The following is a 19,316-nucleotide window of genomic DNA, read 5'->3' on the forward strand; positions in this document are numbered from 1 at the left end:
GTTTCGCCCTTGTCACCCAGGCTGGAGTGTAGTGACACGATCTCAGCTCACCGCAAACTCCGCCTCCTGGGTTCAAGCGATTGATTCTCCTGCCTCGGCCTCCCGAGTAGCTGGGATTACAGGCATGCGTCACCACACCCGGCTAATTTTGTATTTTTAGTAGAGATGGGGTTTCTCCATGTTGGTCAGGCTGGTCTCAAACTCCCGACCTCAGGTGATCCGCCCGCCTTGGTCTCCCAAAGTCCTGGGATTACAGGCATGAGCCACCATGCCCAGCCTTGGTTTTTTATTTCTTCACAAACATTGCCCATTAATATGGTAAAATCCTTTTACAAAATAAGTAAAGGAAAAGCCATAAACAGTCCAAAGACATCGCAAACTGGAAAAATTTATTTGCAATATATTAAACACAAAAGCCTATTTTCCCTAGCATCAAATTTCTTACCAATTAATAAGAAAAAATGGCCAACAACTCGTTTTAAAAAATGAGCAAAGAATATGCAAAGACAATTCCCAGAAAAAAAAAATCAACATACAAAAAGATGAACAAGTTCATTTATGAGTAAATAAATCTGTCCTTGTTTTAAAATTCTGTTTGTATCTGCTCAATATCTAAAATCTGCCTCTCTTGAAACCAAATACAAGGCCCTTCTAAGTGTGAGCCCTGTGTTACTACACAGGTTGTATGTCCTTGAATTGGGCCCTGTTTGTAGTCCTCACCTGGAGAGGTGGAGAATTTTGTATTCCTTTTTTTTATGAGCAGTTATTATAGATTGGCTCACTGGACACCCACACCAACTCACTTCTGGTGCATCTTATGTGATAGAAACTGAAAGCTACAGAAATAAATTAATTAATAAAAGAAAGAAGGAAGGAAGAGAGTGAGGGAGGAGGAAAGAAAAAAAAGTTTCAGCCCTTTCATGCAGCTAGAGAACCCATTTCTACCAAAAACTTGTATTGGTGGTAACTTGGAATGATGAAGTGAGCAAGTTAAGGTAATGGCTGTGTGCTGGGAAATGTTTTGTTCTTCTGGGGAAACAGTGACGGAGATTCTAATGTCTTGTCCCTGTTGTCCTCCTTTGAGCAGCAGGTCATAGCTCCAGTAGAGCTGCTGGAAGTAAAGTCTCCATTGTTGTTCATCATTGTCCAGCTGCATTGCTCCTGGCCATGGGGCATCGAGGCTTGGTTCTGCAATCCCTCCAGAAATTCTTTAAGTCATATAATATCTTGTAATAAATCTTTCTCTACTTAAACCAGCTGGAGTGGATGCAAAAAATACAATTTAGAAGGCAAAATTGTGCTTTGGCAGTCATAGGGTAGAGGTGGAATATGATGGGGAGAACAGAGGTACATAAAGAAATAAGCCCATCACAACCCAGAGAAGTTCCATAAAAAGTTCCCATCAGACTTTCAGTTCTAGCTACTTCACTGCTGAAAAATACAGTTTGTCAATTACAGCTAAATTTGCTTTGGGGTCTCCCTACTGGAATCCCATAAAATGCTATTTTTAGGCATTCACTCATTCATTTAGTCAAATAGCATGTATCAATCAAGTGCTTCACCAGGTTAACCACGATTAGAGAATTCAAGTGACTTTGATTTATGCAATGTCTTTTCCTTAAAATGTACAAAAGCCCAAGTAATAACTTGCTATTTTCAAAAAATCTTAAACAGGAATCCTTTTTATAAAACAAAGAGAGTTCACAGGTAAACAGGATGTGGTTTCTGACCTTCAGGGAAATTTCATCCAGTTGGATAAACAGATCAGAAAACTAATCATACATAGCAAGTGATGAGTCCTGTGCTAGTGGGTTGCATGGAGTACTGTGGGAAGACAGTGGCATGCAAGAAACTGGTTAACAAACTCAAGATTTCTCCACTTTTCACCTATTCTCGTATGAGCCAGCTAAAATGCCCCCCAAAAGAAGTGTTAAAACCTACTGAAGGCTATCATTTGCTATCATTTAAGTTTAGGTGCCTAACTCTTTTTTTTTTTTTTCATTTTTTTTAATTTTGAGACAGAGTCTCACTCTGTCGGCCAGACTGGAGTGCAGTGGCATGATCTCGGCTCACTGCAACCTCCGCCTCCTGGGCTTAAGCAATTCTCCTGCCTCAGCCTCCAGAGTAGCTGAGATTACAGGCATGCACCACCATGCCCGGCTAATATTTGTATTTTTAGTAGAGATGGGGTTTCACCATGTTGGCCAGGCTGGTCTCAAACTCCTGAACTCAGGTAATCTGCCCTCCTTGGCCTCCCAAAGTGCTGGGATTACAGGCGTGAGCCACCATGCCCAGCCTGGTGCCTAACTCTTTTTTTTTTTTAATTTTATTTTATTATTATTATACTTTAAGTTTTAGGGTACATGTGCACAACGTGCAGGTTTGTTACATATGTAAACATGTGCCATGTTGGTGTGCTGCACCCATGAACTCGTCATTTAGCTTAGGTATATCTCCTAATGCTATCCCTCCCCCCTCCCCCACCCCACAACAGTCCCCAGTGTGTGATGTTCCCCTTCCTGTGTCCATGTGTTCTCATTGTTCAGTTCCCACCTATGAGTGAGAACATGTGGTGTTTGGTTTTCTGTCCTTGCGATAGTTTGCTGAGAATGATGGTTTCCAGTTACAACCATGTTCCTACAAAGGACATGAACTCATCATTTTTTATGGCTGCATAGTATTCCATGGTGTATATGTGCCACATTTTCTTAATCCAGTCTATTATTGTTGGACATTTGGGTTGGTTCCAAGTCTTTGCTATTGTGAATAGTCTCGCAATACACATACGTGTGCATGTGTCTTTATAGCAGCATGATTTATAATCCCTTGGGTATATACCCAGTAATGGGATGGCTGGGTCAAATGGTATTTCTAGTTCTAGATCCCTGAGGAATCGCCACACTGACTTCCACAATGGTTGAACTAGTTTACAGTCCCACCAACAGTGTAAAAGTGTTCCTATTTCTTGACATCCTCTCCAGGATGTCAAGAACAGGAAACCTGTTGTTTCCTGACTTTTTAATGATCGCCATTCTAACTGGTGTGAGATGATATCTCATTGTAGTGCCTAACTCTTAAGCAGGGCCAGTGCTCTACTAGAACTTCTGTAGTCTCAGCTCTCATGCACATAGAAGTGCAAGCATCCCACTGAGAGGTAACTGAAGACACTCACAGGCTGCTGAGCTGGCCTTGACTTGGCTTCAGCCAAGAATGGTCATTCATGTGTCTCTGGATGAAGACACAGGGATGCAGAGTGACTTAGTCAAGTCTGACTTTGAGGCAAGCCTTCAAAGTCAGTATTCAGTTACTTCATCTTGTAAAAGCACCACACTTCATGTGACAAAGTAAGTGAAAAAGTAGCTGAGTCTGTCTTGGATGACTGTTTAAACTCATTTAAACATGTCGGAAAAAAACACAAAAACCAGCAAACCAAACGTACCATGATTGCTGACATTTCAGCTCTTTATGTTTGACCTGTGCAACAAACAGACAGATTCTTGTTTTCTCATTCTGGAGAAAGCTTATGGGAGGTTTCTCTCCAAGACAATGAATGACACAGGTAATCAAAGTGCAAATGGCACCTGCTGTCATCCATGCAGCAGTACTGTTATTCAGGATGTTGAAATGCAGATGCTTAGTCAGGAGGTGGATTGAGGATTGGAATTTGGGAGAGATGGATACCAACATTTTGTTTATAGGATCGTCTAACCAACAATGGTGATAGGCTCTCAATCTTCATCAGCACAACCACAGGAGACCTGGAAGCTTCTACAAATATTCTCACATGCCAGCTGAATTTAGAAGACTTTTGACTCAGAATAAGGTAATATTAAACTTACAGTGAGAACAATATTTTTCATAAAGTTTTTGAGACAGCACGAACATCTGTTGAGTTTTGAAAATGGAGAGAGAACCCAAAGATTTCAGGTTAGAGGAAAATATAGTTTTTTCTTTCTGGTTACAAGGCTGGTTACCCATACGATATTCTGAGTCAAGAAAAGAATTTTCTAAGACAAAGAAATAATGCCCTCAAAGGACTTCTTTCCTGTAGGCAAATTCCAATGAAAAAAATTCTCCTATCCGTTCTCACTCCTGCAGGTCGGGTGCCGGGAGGTAAAACTGCCTTGCACTCTGAGCTGAACCTCCTGATGAGGAGAGGTGGGGTTACAGTTACATTTCAGTTTTACAAACCATTCTCTTTACTAACCTGCAATAGTTTGACCTCATTTGTGTAGATCTTAACTCCTTGACTGTGGCTTGTTTAATGGATTTAGTAACATGGAAACCCAAGTAAGAGCCATTTTGCTGAAGTGTGGTGGCAGAGGCCAGATTTTTGAGAGTGGTGGACAGACTCGGGGTGAGAAAGTTGACCCTGAGGACCAGAAGAGGGGATGGAGAGGAATATAGGTCCAGGAAGGTAGGAGTCTTCAGTTTACTTTTTCTTTAGGGCCTTATTGTTATATTTTACATGAGAGAGTCTGGAACATGTTTGAATATAGTTGAAAAGGGTGAGGGAGGTGGTGGGAGAGGGAGAGGAAGATTAAAATTGACATGGATGATACTGGAGACTGAGTTTTATTCTACCTGTAGGGTTTCTGAGACACAGAGAGGAGCGGTGTTAAGAGCACGTGTGGAAGAAATGGTCTGTGTTGGGTGGAGAAAGGAGGAGACAGGTGCAGATTCAGGGATTGCTGTCCATCTGGTCACTTCCATTATCTTTGAATTAGGAGGCAAGGCTATCCGCGGAGGTGTGGGGTGTGGGTAGAGCAGGATTACAAGTTTGAAGGAATGATGGTTGAAATCATCACTTAAGAGAATGGAATAATAAGCTGACTAGAGAAACTTTTCAGCTCCAATCAGCTGTTTTGATATATCAGGTACTATTATTGGCATCAAAGATATAGCAACTTACATTCCAGAGAGGAAATACAGATATACTCAAAAAAGCTAATAAATAGGTAATATGTCAGGTGTTATCTGCTACAAAAAAAGTAATAAAGCAGAAGGAAAAGAGAACAGGGAGAAGGGTTCCATTTTATACAGAGTGTTCTGCTAAGGTGACATTTGAGCAGAAAGCTGAAGCAAGTGAGGAAGTCAGCTATGCAGAAACCTGAGACAGGAGCATTCCAGGTAGCAGTAACACACCTGGTACAGTGACAAAAGCAAAGGGGCTGTGTGCCTGGAGCACAGGGAGCAAGTGGCATCAGAGGAGGAAGGAGGGACAAGCAGGGAGCCATGCCCTGGAAGTCTTGTCAGCCAAGGTGAGGACTTCGGATTTTAATTTGGGCAATTGGGAAACTCAGATTTACTCTATCTGCCTCATACCAGCCCCTTTGGACAGAGCCTCAGTTTGCAATGTCTGTGCACCTGGTTCCTGGCTTTGCCTTCACAGTGTTCCTAGATGCCAATCTGTTAGGTCAGGTTGACCAGATGACTAGGCCCCCATTATCTATGAGGGGGTTCATGTAAGTTGTAGTGTATATGTGCACGTGTGTGTGTGTGTGGACATGACACAAGTTTCTTTGGTAAAGGAAGTAAAAGCCCTGACAATCTGAACATAATCTATTGACCTTTCACGGCCTTGCTACTCCAAGTTTGACCTCACCTTCTTGTTAGAAATGCAGACTCTTGCGGTGGCTCACGTCTGTAATCCCAGCACTTTGGGAGGCCAAGGTGGGCGGATCACCTGAGGTCGGGAGTTTGAGACCAGCTTGACCGACGTGGAGAAACCCCATCTCTACTAAAAACACAAAATTAGCCAGGCATGATGGTGCACGCCGGTAATCCCAGCTACTCAGGAGGCTGAGGCAGGAGAATCACTTGAACCCGGGAGGCGGAGGTTGAGGTGAGCTGAGATCACACCATTGCACTCCAGCCTGGGCAACAAGAGCGAAATGGCTGTCTCAAAAACAACAACAACAACAACAACAAATGCAGACTCTTGAGCCACGCCTCAAATCCATTACATCACAATCAGATTTTGCATTTTAATGTGTTCCTCAGGTGATTCATATGCACTTTAAACTTGAGAAGCCTGACTTTAGAGATCCTCAAAGAAAACAGGAAGGTTTTCCTCCTGCATTTAAGTTCATTTTTCAGGGATCCTTCTCATTCTAAACACATTCTAACAGGCCTTCTCTACTTTCTCTGAATGAAGTGGAAACATTTCTATGATTACTTTGTTACACAGTGGAGCATACATCTAATTATTTGTGTAGTGGGAAATCATTCCTTTCTCTCTTGCCTATTCTCAAGATCCAGATCCTTTTGTCTTTCTAGATAAGAGTCCTCTCGCCTTGCAGTTTGAATCTCTTCAGCACATTAGATGCCTCGCATTAGCATCCCCTGAACTGAGTGGAGTTAAATAACTCAGTGCGCGATTGACATGCTCATCACAAGGCCTTTGTAAAAGATATCCCAGCATCTTCTTGATATTGAGTTCAGTAAAGGAAGTAAAAGCCCTGACAATCTGAACATAACTTTTTTCTGTTTCTTTTCTTTTTTTTTTGAGATAGAGTATTGCTCTACCGTCCAGGCTGGAGTGCAGTGGTATGATCACAGCTCACTGCAGCCAAAGCTGCATAGCCAGGACTGCAGGCATTGGGCCACCATGCCCAGCCTCCCTAATATTTGTTACAGTGAGCATGCTGTTTACACATGGCCTGTGCACAGTCTTAATGAGAGCCATTCTGGGGATAAAATGATCAGATGTCTGCCCTAGAGGAGCAGTTTCATATGGCAGGTGTAGCGCAGAGCCCGAAGGGTGTGGCACTACCAGATCATTGGTCAGGCCATGGGAATGTCCAGGTAACCAGCAGTCAGCAGTCATTATAGATGGGCAGAGTTTGGGAACATGGCCTGACAACAATGGGTTCAATTTATTGAGCTTGTATCATGCACCAGGCAGTGTGCTTCACATTAACGATCTCCTTTAATTCTCACAGTCACTACAGAATATGCACTGTTGTTCCATTTTACTAAGAGGTTGAAAGAGAAGTTAAGGGGCCTGCCCACTATCATATAATTAACAGGGAATGCTAATTTTCCAATCCATGTGTATAGTTGTCCCCCCTTATCCACAAGGAATACACTTGAAGACCCCTTGAAAGTGTGGATAGTACCAAACCGTATATATACTGTTTTTCCCTATATGTACATACCTATGATAAAGTTTAAATTAGCCACTGTAAGAGATTAACAATAATAACTAAAAATTAAATAAAACATTTATAACAATATACTGTAATAAAAGTTGTGAATGTGATCTCTCTCTGTGGCTCTCAAAATATCTTACTGTACTGTACCACAGGTAAGTGAAACCATGTACAGTGAAACCGAAGATATGGAGAGACTACTGTGCCTGACTCCAGGGCCATATTATTAACCTCTGCACTAGAATCCCGTGTCAGAAATTGAGCTCGTCAGACCATTAACTTCAAGGTGGTGTGGCTGCTGGGTCCTAACGTACTTGCCTGGTGAGGAGTTCCTAAGTGGGAAAGCCTGGGTGTAAAGGAGGAGTGGTGCATCCAGGATGTTCTCAGAATAGAATTCTACTAAAAGGAATGGGCGTCCGAGGCCCAGGATCAGGTGAGTTACTCAAACCAGGGTGTCCCATCTGTGCTCAGCTCCCTGTGCCATGTGATGGGGGGCCATTCTCCGATTTGTGAGGACAGCTGGAAGCACATGATCATCAGGTAAGCTTAGTCCTGGCTAGGGTGGGTTGAGCCAGTGGGTGACAAGTGACTATGTGACCAGGTTGGTCCTTGAAAGATGACTGAGGTTTGGACACCTTTGCGGGGTGGAGATGAGAGGAAAGAGAGAGAAATGCATTTTTGCCTGAGCAAAAAGGGGCCTTGTTTGTCTTGTTCATTTCATTTATCTAAATTCATGTTCAAGAAAAATACGAACAATTAATGGAAAACAGCCACAAACTTATGGAAAAGCAGATAGTGGAATACACAAGAAATTTTTAAGAGTCTACAATAAAGGGTAAGTGTGAGTTTGGAAAGAAAACTTTTTAAACTGCTCTGGCTAAAAACTGCTGGGCCAAGACCTGGAAACAGCAGGGATGCATCTCATCTTGCACAGGAATGTGGATAAATAGGTTTCAATGCATAAGACATGTGAGTCTACCCAAGGCACACACATGCAGTTTCCATCAAATTCCACACACTCGGTTCTGTTGGAAATAAGCATGTCATCTGTGTGATTCAGTTCAATGGTTGGTCTAATGGATTAGGATGAAATGCTGCTTCATGAATAGGAATTGGGTGCTGAGGTATCTCGTGTCTGTGAATAAGGTGAGAGTGACTGATTCTTGCAGTGGTTGATACTGGCGATTACCAAGTAATAAGTTAACACTCCAGAGCCTAGGGAATATAAGTAGTGTGAATTAATATGACAACAATAGTTTGCATAGGAAGACTGAGAATGTGCTAACTAGCCAAAGTTGCTGAAATCTTAATTAGGTATTTTGATACATAATGAAGGATATTTGCTCACCTCAGTAACTGTCATCAATTAAAAGAGATGGACAGGGAGAATTACATTGCACTTAATTTTATCTGAATATTTAATCACCAATAATGGAGATGAAAATTTATGAGATATTTTGACATTCTGGGAAATACAGCAAAGTTAATATTGTTAGAAGCTTCTCAGCTGTGCATTGCTCAGAAGTGAAAACGTCCATAACAGCTATAGAGACTGGGGAGATTCACAAATTCAACTTTTTAGATCATTTGGAAGAATTTTCTCTCCAGACAGATTTTTTTTCCTAAAACAATTTGTCAATTGTTTTTAATTACTAAATTTCAAAGTAAAGACTGTTTATAACAGCTAATTACAGAAAATAATCATGTCCTCACAATGCTAAATTTATATCTACCATATATTAATATTTGCTCCCAAATGGCAACTGCCCAGGTCAGCTGAGCTCACCCGAAATTCTAGAAGAGAAAGCAGGTGAAGATCAGAGTAGTGGATGCTATTTGGAGTGGGACCTTCCTTTCTTTTCTGTTTTTCAAAGTTAATTTGATTTATCAAAAAATATTTATGTGATTATGAGAAGCTATTTGTGTGTGCTCATGTAGATGACAGTAGCCTGTATATAATTTGTGAGGGTAAAGAAAGCAAAATGTAAAAAGAAGAGATGTATACATTCATGTGCCAATGCTCCTTTCATGTAAAACCTAGGAAAGGACAAAAAAGAAGGCAGAGAAAAAGTCAAAATAATGTTAACTACGTTCATTCATGCATTCACTCTCTCTCTGTTCATTCTTCCCAGCATGGCAATGAGCTCCATTTTCCTGGGTGTCTCTTACATAGTGGGAAGAGAGACATGGGGTGGTCAGAAGACCTGGCTTCTGCCTTTATCACTGCCATTTATTAGCTGCATGACTCTGAGGAAGTTACAATCTCTGAGTTGCAGTTTCTTCATTTGTATGTGGAGTAATAATATCTGTAACCCTGCCTTGGTGGGCTCTTGCACCAAATGAAGCAAGTTGTTTTGTGAAACTTCATTTAGCTTATACCCTTTGTTAAAATGCACACATATACTGAGTGCTGTTCACCACATTGAGCAGATTCAGTGGATGATGTCATTTAATTCTCGCAACCCAAGCCCTAATAAGCAGACAGAGAATATGGGGTACAGAGTACTTTGAGGGCACAGAGCTAGTAAATGGAGAAGCTGGATTTTTTTTTTTTTAGTTTTTTGACAACATGCATAGTAGGAAATACATTTTACAGTCTGAATCAGTAGAGGTAGATATGATAAATATATGCATACCTGTATCTACACATATATGTATGAATGGAAAAACAAAAATTTCAGAAACAGTGTAATGGCAAAAGCCGCAATTACATTTGTACCAACCTAATATACATGTAAGTCTACACACATACATGGCTTGAAAGTAATGCCAAAAATCACAATTACATTTGCACCACCCTAATATATACAAATATATTCTAAATTGAATATATTCTGTTCTATATTATTTCTTTTTTATGATAACATACTAAATGGATTATACAAATCAATTGTGATGCACAGTTTTTAAAACACTTATCTAAAGCCTACACTCTTTAACCACTATGTTGTAATCCTTCTATTTAGAGCAGATCTTTATACATAGTAGATATGCAATATATATTTGTTGGATGTTGTATGAATAGGGACAGAAAGAATGAAATCTAAGGGTCCCCCCAAATCATATCTGAATCGGTGGCTTCACTCTTTGTCCATCTGTAATGTTAACTCTTTTCCCTCAGTTGATGACAAGGAGCACAGTCCAACATGTCCATTGCTTTCTGTATTGCTTTCTGCTTTCTCTGTCATCGGAGCTGTCTACTGAGGAAAAGCCAAGGACAGATGGCTCCCTGGATAGAGGAGTCTTCAAAAAACAGGGAGAGTAAAGTCAAAGCTGAGATTTTCCAGTTTATGCCCATTACACCTTGTACACCTCCTCTGGGCACCTTCCTGACCCCTGACCCAGCAGGCCGGTGCACTCACACCCTTCCTGCATGTTGACCACTTCCTCTCTCTGGTCTTTGGAAGTGGAACAGCTCTGAAGAAAACATTGGATATAAATATTTTCTTTTTCTCTGAGATTTCCTTTCAACATGCTCACTTTTTTTTTTTTTTTGTTTTTTTGAGACAGAGTCTCGCTCTGTCCCCAGGCTGGAGTGCAGTGGCACGATCTTGGCTCACTGCAACCTCCGCCTCCCGGGTTCAAGTGATGCTCCCACCTCAGTCTCCCAAGTAGCTGGGATTACAGGTGCACACCACCATACCTGGCTAATTTTTGTATTTTTAGTAGAAACAGGGTTTCACCATGTTGGCCAGGCTGGCCTCAATCTCCTGACCTTGTGATCCGCCCCCCTTCGCCTCCCAAAGTGCTGGGATTACACGTGTGAGCCACTGTGCCTGGCCCATGCTCACTAATTTGTCTTTACTGCAAACAATTTACAATATACTCACCATTATTTTATAATCAAGACACATTGTTGGATGTGCCTGGGGTGAGCAGGGAATTATTTTGGCAGCAGCAGATGCACTTCCTTCACAGAGAACAGTCTCAACTTGACAAATACTTGGGGTTGAATGAATGACTCTTCAAGTATTTCCTCAGTTTCATGACTGCTTTTTAAGCATTTTAAACAAAGATCATATCCTTTAATTTTTTTCCTCACACCAGCAAACTGTTATGCACATGAGAGTTTTGAGTAAGTAGTAGTATGTGGGTAATAGTGTATTGAATATAATATCAACGCTCCACGAATAGTCTAAATGCCTTTAATGACTGTGTTATCAGAAAGCTTGGCCAGCAGTCAAACAATAATAATTGGAAGAGTTAAAACATATAGATTTCGATCTTTTTTGCTCCCTAATAACAAATGAATTGTACATCCTCTTTTTACTGTGGGTAAACCTGATGTGTTTTAACAAATTGGTTATGCTTCTTTAGTGATGGAGACTTTAAAATGGTAGATATAAAAAAAGTGAGAAAGTCTGTTAAATCATTTTAGCTTAAGTTTAAACAACTTTAGCTCTTAAAATACTTCCAAAAAACACTCTTGGGCTTCCCACATGTATTACAGTTTTAAATTAACAACAACTGGCATATCCAGAAAAGAATATGTAAAAAAGAAAGCATTCAAAGGCACCCATCTTTGAGGCATAGAGAGAGAGCTAATTACAATATAGCATGAATAAGTGCCTGTTATCTCTGCTGAGGACAGAACTGGAATGAATATATGGCCTTAACTCCAGAAAACCGATAATGTTAGACATTTCTGAAAACAATAGTTTTTAGATTCTGGAGCTGAACTTATAGTGTAAGCATTTTATGTCTAGTAATCTCCTAGACTCCCAGGTCAACTCCTGGGAAGATAGCCCAATAATCTGCTAGAAAAAAGGTTAGAAGACCTTCTACAAAGTCAAAAGAAAGTTGGAGGTGGGAATGGGTTAGGGATGTGAGTAGAGAGAGGAGGGGAAAAAAAAAAGAAAACTTGTGAAATTCCTTGGAGGCCTTTCAACCTCTCCCTAAAGATTTTAAAATTTACCTTTAAAGTGATTACCTCAATTGTCCATTATTTACCAGTCAATTATTATATATTGAGCACCTGCTGTGATCAAGGCATTTAGTTAAATCCAAGAGGAATCTAAAGAATAGCAGGTTTCCTCAAGGTCTTTTAGGGATTATTATATAATTGGAAAGGAAAATATAAAAATATCTGAAATTAATAATCTGAATAACTTATAACCCAAAGCTAAAAATGTTAAGAGGTTTAGATGCTTCACAGAAGAGAACTTTTTTTTTTTTTTTTTTTTGAAATAGGGGCTTGCTCTGTTGCCCAGGCTGGAGTGCAGTGGCACACTGCAGTCTCAAACTCCTGGGCTCAAGTGATCTTCCTGCTTCAACCTCTCAAGTAGCTGGGACTACAGGTGCATGCCACCACACCTGGCTAATTTTTATTTATTTATTTTTTTTGTAGAAACAAGGTCTCATTCTTCTGCCCAGGCTGGTCTCAAACTCCTGATCTCAAGTGATCCTCCCACCTTGGCCTTCCAAAGTGCTAGGATTACAGATGTGAGCTTGCCCTTCACAGAAAATTATAAAAGACCCAACCTTGGAATGAAAGAAAAATTTGGATAGTAACAATAATAACTTTATTATCTAGTATAAAGGGCACACCCAACTGTATTATTTGTATTAAAAAGATTGTTCTGGTATCTTGAAAGTGTGGCTGTTTTTACATGTCTAATTAATAATCTCACACAGTGAAGGAGCTGTCTCATTACCTTCTTGAAGCCCGCCATGACTTTGGCGTTCTACAATGTATACCAAGGAGGGATGACTAATTCCAAAGCAAATGTCCGTTCATGCTCAGTCCAGAGGGTTCCTTTTTTTTTGTTCTCAGGCTGTCTCACCAGTTACTCCTTTATTGATATTTAGCTCATTTATGTAAGTTTGCCAGCTCAAGAGAGATAATAGGTGAGGGAGAACTTGAAGTCAATGGAGGCCACAAGGCTTTTGGATCATCTGTTGATACCAAAACCCAATTTATTCTACCCCTCCAATAACGAAACCAAGAGCATGTGCTCTGGGAAGAGGAAAGAGAGAGGAGCTGGGCAAAGTGGAGAAATGCGAGAAGTTTTTAAAGTCAGCTCACAGGAAAGTATTTAGAGAATCATCTCAGAAAAAAATAGAATAGATACAAATGAAGTCTTTCTTAGATGCTCTAGAAATATATTAATATAACAGTGGTTGCTAAAGAGCACTTAAATATTTCTAAAGCATGATGTCTAAAAATTGAAGCTAAGTGCCACCAAGCAAGGGATGTGCTTCTAATTAAAGGTAACTGTCAATTTGTGTTTCTTTTTATGAAATGAGGCCTACATTCAGCTCATTTATTTATTCAACAAATATTGTTGAGGGTCTACCATGCACTGGTCACTGTACTAAGGGAAGGTGATAGAGTTTCTAGATGGAGATGCAGGGTTGAGGGAGGTGGTTCTTTTGCTTGCTTCATTTTGCTCACTTTTTATTTTTTTGGAGATGAGAGTAAATTGATGTTGGTTATGAAGGACCCCATGTAAAAAGATTAAGTTGAATATGCAGGGATGAGAGAAGATAACTGTCTAATTAAGTCCTAGAAGAGAGTGGAGGGATCAAGGTTGAGAACACAGATTCAGTGACCACCCTTAAGTAAGAAATGACGTGGCTCGTCTGTCTGAGATCTTTAAATTCTGTGCTTAATCTGTGCACAGTAAGGAGTGAAAGTGTACATGGTACCTGTGTATATTTTTTTCATATTGGGACAAGATTCTATAAACTCAAATTTGAATTCTCCTACAGCTGTCTGGCTTCAAACTCTGTTTCATCCTATTAAAAAGGGGGCAGTAATATCAGTCCCATATTTGTCCCAGGGGGATCCCACGTGCTGATGAGAAGGGACTTGCAATAAGGAAATGTAAGAAGTGCTGGCTTAGGCCGGGTGCAGTGGCTCATGCCTCTAATCCCAGCATTTTGGGAGGCCAGGGCAGGTGGATCATGAGGTCAGGAGTTCAAGACCAGCCTGGCCAACATGGTAAAACCCTATCTCTACTAAAAATACAAAAATTATCTGGATGCGGTGGCGGCAGGCCCCGGTAATCCCAGCTACTTGGGAGGCTGAGGCAGGAGGATTGCTTGAAACTTTTAGTGAGCCACTGTACTCCAGGCTGGGTGACAGAGCAAGACTCCGTCTCAAAAAAAAAAAAAAAGAGTGCTGGCTTAGCACCTTTGGCCCTAACGGAAATAGGGTTCTCCTAAAACAGATGACTCAGAGAACATCCTTGACATCAATGCCGTATTCAGAATGAAGATCTTGAAAAGCAGACATGTAATGTTAAAAAGAGAATAGTAGCTGTTTTTTTTTTTAACAATGCTTAATTTCTTTGAGAGAATACTGAACTCCTGAAACATCCAATTCCTCATTTGCAAAATGGGAGTAATGATGATTGCTGCCTCAAAAGGTTTGTGTGAGCATTTCACCAGCAGATGTATTTAAAGTATGCCTGGCAGAGAGTATTTAGGAATGCTTAGCTATTATTTATCTCATCCTCATCAATAAAAAACAATGATAAAACCTTTTTACTTAATTAAATATGTACACCATTAAGCACATATCCTTAATTTACCAAGTTTTATGTAATTAATATATTTACAAATCATTGCTTTTCCACTTTAATTAGCTAACAGTTAATTTCTAAGGTACCAAAAATTGAGACTCTTACTGAGAAAGATTCTCATCCTATTTTATTTATTAAATTAGAAAAACAGTACCTCTTAAGAGTTTACCAGGTGAATTTCTTTTAGATGAAAATTCTCCCTCAGTTATTCCTGGGTTGGTATCTTGACTGAGTGTCTTTTCTTCTTTATTTATCTCAAAGGTGAGTTCCATCTGCAGACTCTAATAAATAATGATTAGTTTCAAATCATAGATTCCATTTTAACTCTTAGGAAGGGAAGTGTGACAATTCAGGAATGTGGTGTTCATGGAAGTCTGTGAAAACTTTGTGTTTGGGTCCATTCGTTTGTTCACACACTGTTTAAGACTTTTGTCTCCTGATGCCACATGTGACAGAGAAACTTCTTCATTTTGCTCATGACAAGATGCTCCTGTTGCTGGGGTCCCACAGGGGTCTCAGTGCCTGCAGATCTCAGTTTAAGGAATGGCTTCAGCCCAAGAGCTTAGGGCACAGTTCCCCAGGCTCTTACCAACACCATGATGCAGTTATTCTTCGCTAATAAAAGGTGGGCTAGAAAATGCATTGCTCTGGGGTTTTCAACTTCTGAGTTTGTTGTTGTTCATATTGGAATGGACATAAGCTTATGCCTGCAGGGATGTCTGGTGTATCAGATGTCTGGAGTGTTGCTCCAGCAGCTCCCAGAGCATGGCCTGAGGGTGCTTGGCCCTGGGCTGGCTGTGGATTCGTGGGCCCATCCTGCGTTATGCTTGAGGCAGGACCTCAGCTTGGTGATGAAGGGCGCCTTGCCCATCAACTGTGGCCTATTTTTAGAAGAGTAATCTCTGTCAACTAAGAAAATAAAACTAGGATCATTAGGCTGTCTGAGAGACCTTTCAGATGAACTGTAGATGTTCATTTGTCCATTTTTATTGTGTTGTGACAAGCATTTTTTAATAAACAGTTTTATTGAAATATAACTCACATACCACACAATTCACCAATTTAAAGTGTACATTTCAGTACTTTTAGTATGTCCACTGCGTGTGAAAACATCACCACAATCAATTTTGTAACACTTTTGTACCCCACAGAAGAAACTCTGTACCCATTAGCAATCAGTCCCCATTCCCCTCCCACCCACGCCTTCCCAGCCCTAAGCAACCACTAATCTTTCTATTTCTATAAATTGTGCGGCAAACATTTTATTTTAAACTCCGCACTGGGACCGCCCTGCCTAGCAGCCTGGCTGTCGCAGGACCGCCTCCCTCCTCCTCTGCCTCCAGCCCCCTCTCCAGACGCATCTCCTGGAGGTATTCTTCTTCTCTTCCCCTGTGTCCTGTCCCTCCCGTGCCCCTCAACTGTGGCCGCTCTGGCATCGCTGTGGGCCACAGTGGGGAGGTCGGATTTCTCCTCTGCCCTCCTCCTCCTCACCTTCCGTCTCTACTGGGGCCCCAAATCCCATCTTCCTCAGGGACTTTAGGGTCACACGAGTCAGAAACCTATGAAAACCGATGCAATCAAAGGAGAGAAGAGTGGGGGAAGGCCAGGGGAACCCCAGTGCAGGGACTTGGCAGTGGGGGTTGATTCTCGTCACCCTCTGCATCCGAGTGGGCCTGAGCTCTACTTTCTGTCTCTCTTGGTGCTTCTGCTTCTCTCTCTCTCTCTCTCTCTCTCTCTGTGTGTGTGTGTGTGTGTCTCTCTCTGTGGACTGGCGTCTTCTGGTCCTCTTCCTCCCAGTCCATAAGTAATAGTCCCTAAAACAGCTTGACACAGATTCAAATCCCTGAATCTCAATTATAAGCTCCCAGAAAAGAAAATGAGTTGACTTGGACTGAATTGGGGCTTTGAATCAAGCAGCTCTAAGGGGCATAGAGGGGTGGGGGGTCCCGTGCTCACTGCATAGTCCGCAGGAGCTCTACCTCCAAGTGGGAGCCACACGCCTGCAGGGTTCAGAGCAGACCCTTCCCCAGGCCCCGCCTCTCTATTTCCAGGGGTGATAAAGCCATCTCTGGGCTGGCTTAAGAGACTGAGGGCTGAACTCAGAGCCCTGCCACCCCCAACAGCCTTGCAGCCTCCCTGGTGACTTTCTGGGCTGCTGGGGAGTCTTAACTATTCTCTCCTCCCTACCTCCATTCTTTCCCCCACAGGGAGCCCACTGGCCTCACTGCTGCTCTCCTGAGCGCTTTGTCTTCTCCTGCTGATCTGCTGGTCAAACGGCAGAACTTCATGTCATTGAAACTTGCTCTTAGACCTCTCCTCGTAGGAGAAGTTGCCATTCTCCTGGATAAGGAAAGGGTATAGTACACACTGGTCTCTTCAGAGTACTGGCTGCCTGCCCTCTTTCCTACTTCCTCATCCTGATTAACGGTCTGTCCTGCCTCTTGGCAACCCGTTGGCGCTCCTTAAGTTGTCTGTGGCCCACTTGATCCTCCCAGGTCCTCCTGAAAAGCAGGCCCCAGGGCCTCCAAACCACATGCAGGCCAAGAACATGTTCAAAATGAAGAGATTTCTATATTTTAAAATATAAATGCTTACTCAATTATATTTTAAAACTTTTTATTTCAAGTGTACCATAGCTTAGATTTGGAAAGTTGACCTCTAGAAATCTAAACACAAGAAATAACAAAGTGGGACCAAAAGTGTATTAATTCTTAGTACTCAATAAACTTTAAAAAAAAATTTCCAGTTTTGGTAAATAAATCCAGCAATCTTCTAGACTTTGAAGCTAAACAATTGGGACTGACATTTTCTGTGGCTGTCATTGTTGCTGTTTAGTAAGCTTTTATTGCATGTATGCGTGATGTGTAACATACGTGCACAAACAAACACAGTGAAATGCAGCTCCAGGAGCATCTACAGAATGAACCCTCTCATATCACCAGCATGTGGACGAAGGAGCAGCGCCTGAAGGCCCCTTTGATGCCCCTGCTAGGCAGCGGTCCCTTGTGGGTGACCATGAGCATGGCTTCTAATACTCTGAATTCATTTGCCTTTTTTTTTTAGCTTCACATGAATGGTATTATACAAGATATATTCATTTTTGTCTGACTTCTTTCACTCAAAGTTGAACTGAAGAGACACATTCCTGTTGTACGTTGTTATGGTTCACTTATTCTCATTGCTGTGTAGTATTCCATCTTGCAGATTTGCCAAATCACTCTATTATTGCTTCATGTTTAGAAATTTATTTCCAATTTGGGCTGTTAAAAACAGTGCTGCTCTGATCATTTGAATGCATTTCTTTGTTGAACACATGCACACATTTCTCTGGGTATATACTTGGGAGTGGAACTGCTGGGTCCTAAAGTGTGTATGTGCAGACACTGCCCAATAATTTTTCAAGTTGTTTTGCCTTTTAATAATGATTTTAAAGTATAAAAAATTATCTCACATCTGATAAAATTTTGATTTTTCCCAAAAGAGCTAACATAATTCTTTATGTTGTTTTACCTCTTAATAATGATTTAAAAGTATAAAAAATTATCTAACTTCTGATAAAATTTTGATTTTCCCCAAAAGAGCCAACATCTGTGTAATGCAATAACTACATTTTTTCTACTTCTAGAAGAAAAGGAATCATTATTCAGAGAAGGAAATGGCACAGAAGAGATTATAATTTTTCGATTAAAAGGGGCCATCAAGGTCTTATAGGACACTGAGATATGAAACACACACACTTGGTGGTGTGCCCGTAGTCACAACATGAAGGACAGTCAGGAAAGGATGTGCCTCCAAGTCCCAAGAATGACCCATGTGCTTTTCTTTGTTATTCAATTCTACAGACAAGTGTGGGTTCTTCTGCGGGCATGTCAGTACACTAAGCAATGTGCGAATTTCCGGTAAATACAGCAAAGAGCCTTGTGGCGTAGGAGCCTCCCCTTAGTGGAAAACCAAATCTCTACACACAGTAATTTTGCTGGAGTGAATTTTGGCTCTTACCAGACTTCTATCTCTAACAGGTAATCTATCATTTACAACAACTTGGCCCCTTTCTCTCTGCTTTTTATTACTTCTCCCCTAATTCAAATCCTCATTACTTCAGAGCTGAATTATCGCAGCAGACTTTTGGCTAGGTTCCTCATTTATAACTTCTGCCCTCTCTAATCTATCTCAGCCTATTTCTGATCAGATTAGTCTTTATAAAACAACACATTCATTTTGCATCTCTTCTTGTCAATATTATTTAACAGGAGTTTCACACCCAAATCCCTAGGGGACCTGGTAATGCAAATGTGTAAAGGCCAGATAATGGCCTTTGCAATGTTAAACATCTAGAGAATTATGCTTTCTTTAATTTTCATTGAAACCCAGGGATGTCTTGGTCTGGGTTTCATTTCCTGATTTGACAAAGTCTGTATGGAAAACAAAAAAAATTTACTTTAAAAAAAAAATTCTATAATAAGAAAGCCAACAGCACAAGCCCACCTAGAAATAGTGCTTGAAACCCAGGGAAAACCCATTTAAAGAGAGCCGTCTGCAGCTATTCAGCTCCAGGCAACCGTTGCCATGATGGATTTTGGCCTAGTGCTGTTAGATCTTCCAATTTTTCAAAAGAAATTGGAAAGCCAGATTTTTC

General features: G+C 41.0%; 1 protein-coding gene across 1 annotated transcript in view, besides 3 other annotated features; it reads left to right on the top strand.

The window, feature by feature from the left end:
* The window catches only part of XKR4 (XK related 4), a 440,027-nt gene that overhangs the window by 23,228 nt on the left and 397,483 nt on the right, over window positions 1-19,316 (top strand). The window lies entirely within an intron of this gene.
* Window positions 2,974-3,866: an enhancer, noted in NCBI's record as "OCT4-NANOG hESC enhancer chr8:56040789-56041681 (GRCh37/hg19 assembly coordinates)". NCBI's record gives its function as "activates a minimal SCP1, AML or CMV promoter by ChIP-STARR-seq in naive H9 embryonic stem cells {active_cell/tissue: H9 hESC(naive)}" and the evidence as "EXISTENCE:reporter gene assay evidence [ECO:0000049][PMID:30033119]".
* Window positions 16,218-16,719: an enhancer, noted in NCBI's record as "H3K4me1 hESC enhancer chr8:56054033-56054534 (GRCh37/hg19 assembly coordinates)". NCBI's record gives its function as "activates a minimal SCP1, AML or CMV promoter by ChIP-STARR-seq in naive H9 embryonic stem cells {active_cell/tissue: H9 hESC(naive)}" and the evidence as "EXISTENCE:reporter gene assay evidence [ECO:0000049][PMID:30033119]".
* Window positions 16,720-17,219: an enhancer, noted in NCBI's record as "H3K4me1 hESC enhancer chr8:56054535-56055034 (GRCh37/hg19 assembly coordinates)". NCBI's record gives its function as "activates a minimal SCP1, AML or CMV promoter by ChIP-STARR-seq in naive H9 embryonic stem cells {active_cell/tissue: H9 hESC(naive)}" and the evidence as "EXISTENCE:reporter gene assay evidence [ECO:0000049][PMID:30033119]".

This window comes from Homo sapiens, chromosome 8, assembly GCF_000001405.40.
Source record: "Homo sapiens chromosome 8, GRCh38.p14 Primary Assembly".
In the NCBI taxonomy this organism is placed as follows: Eukaryota; Metazoa; Chordata; class Mammalia; order Primates; family Hominidae; genus Homo; species Homo sapiens.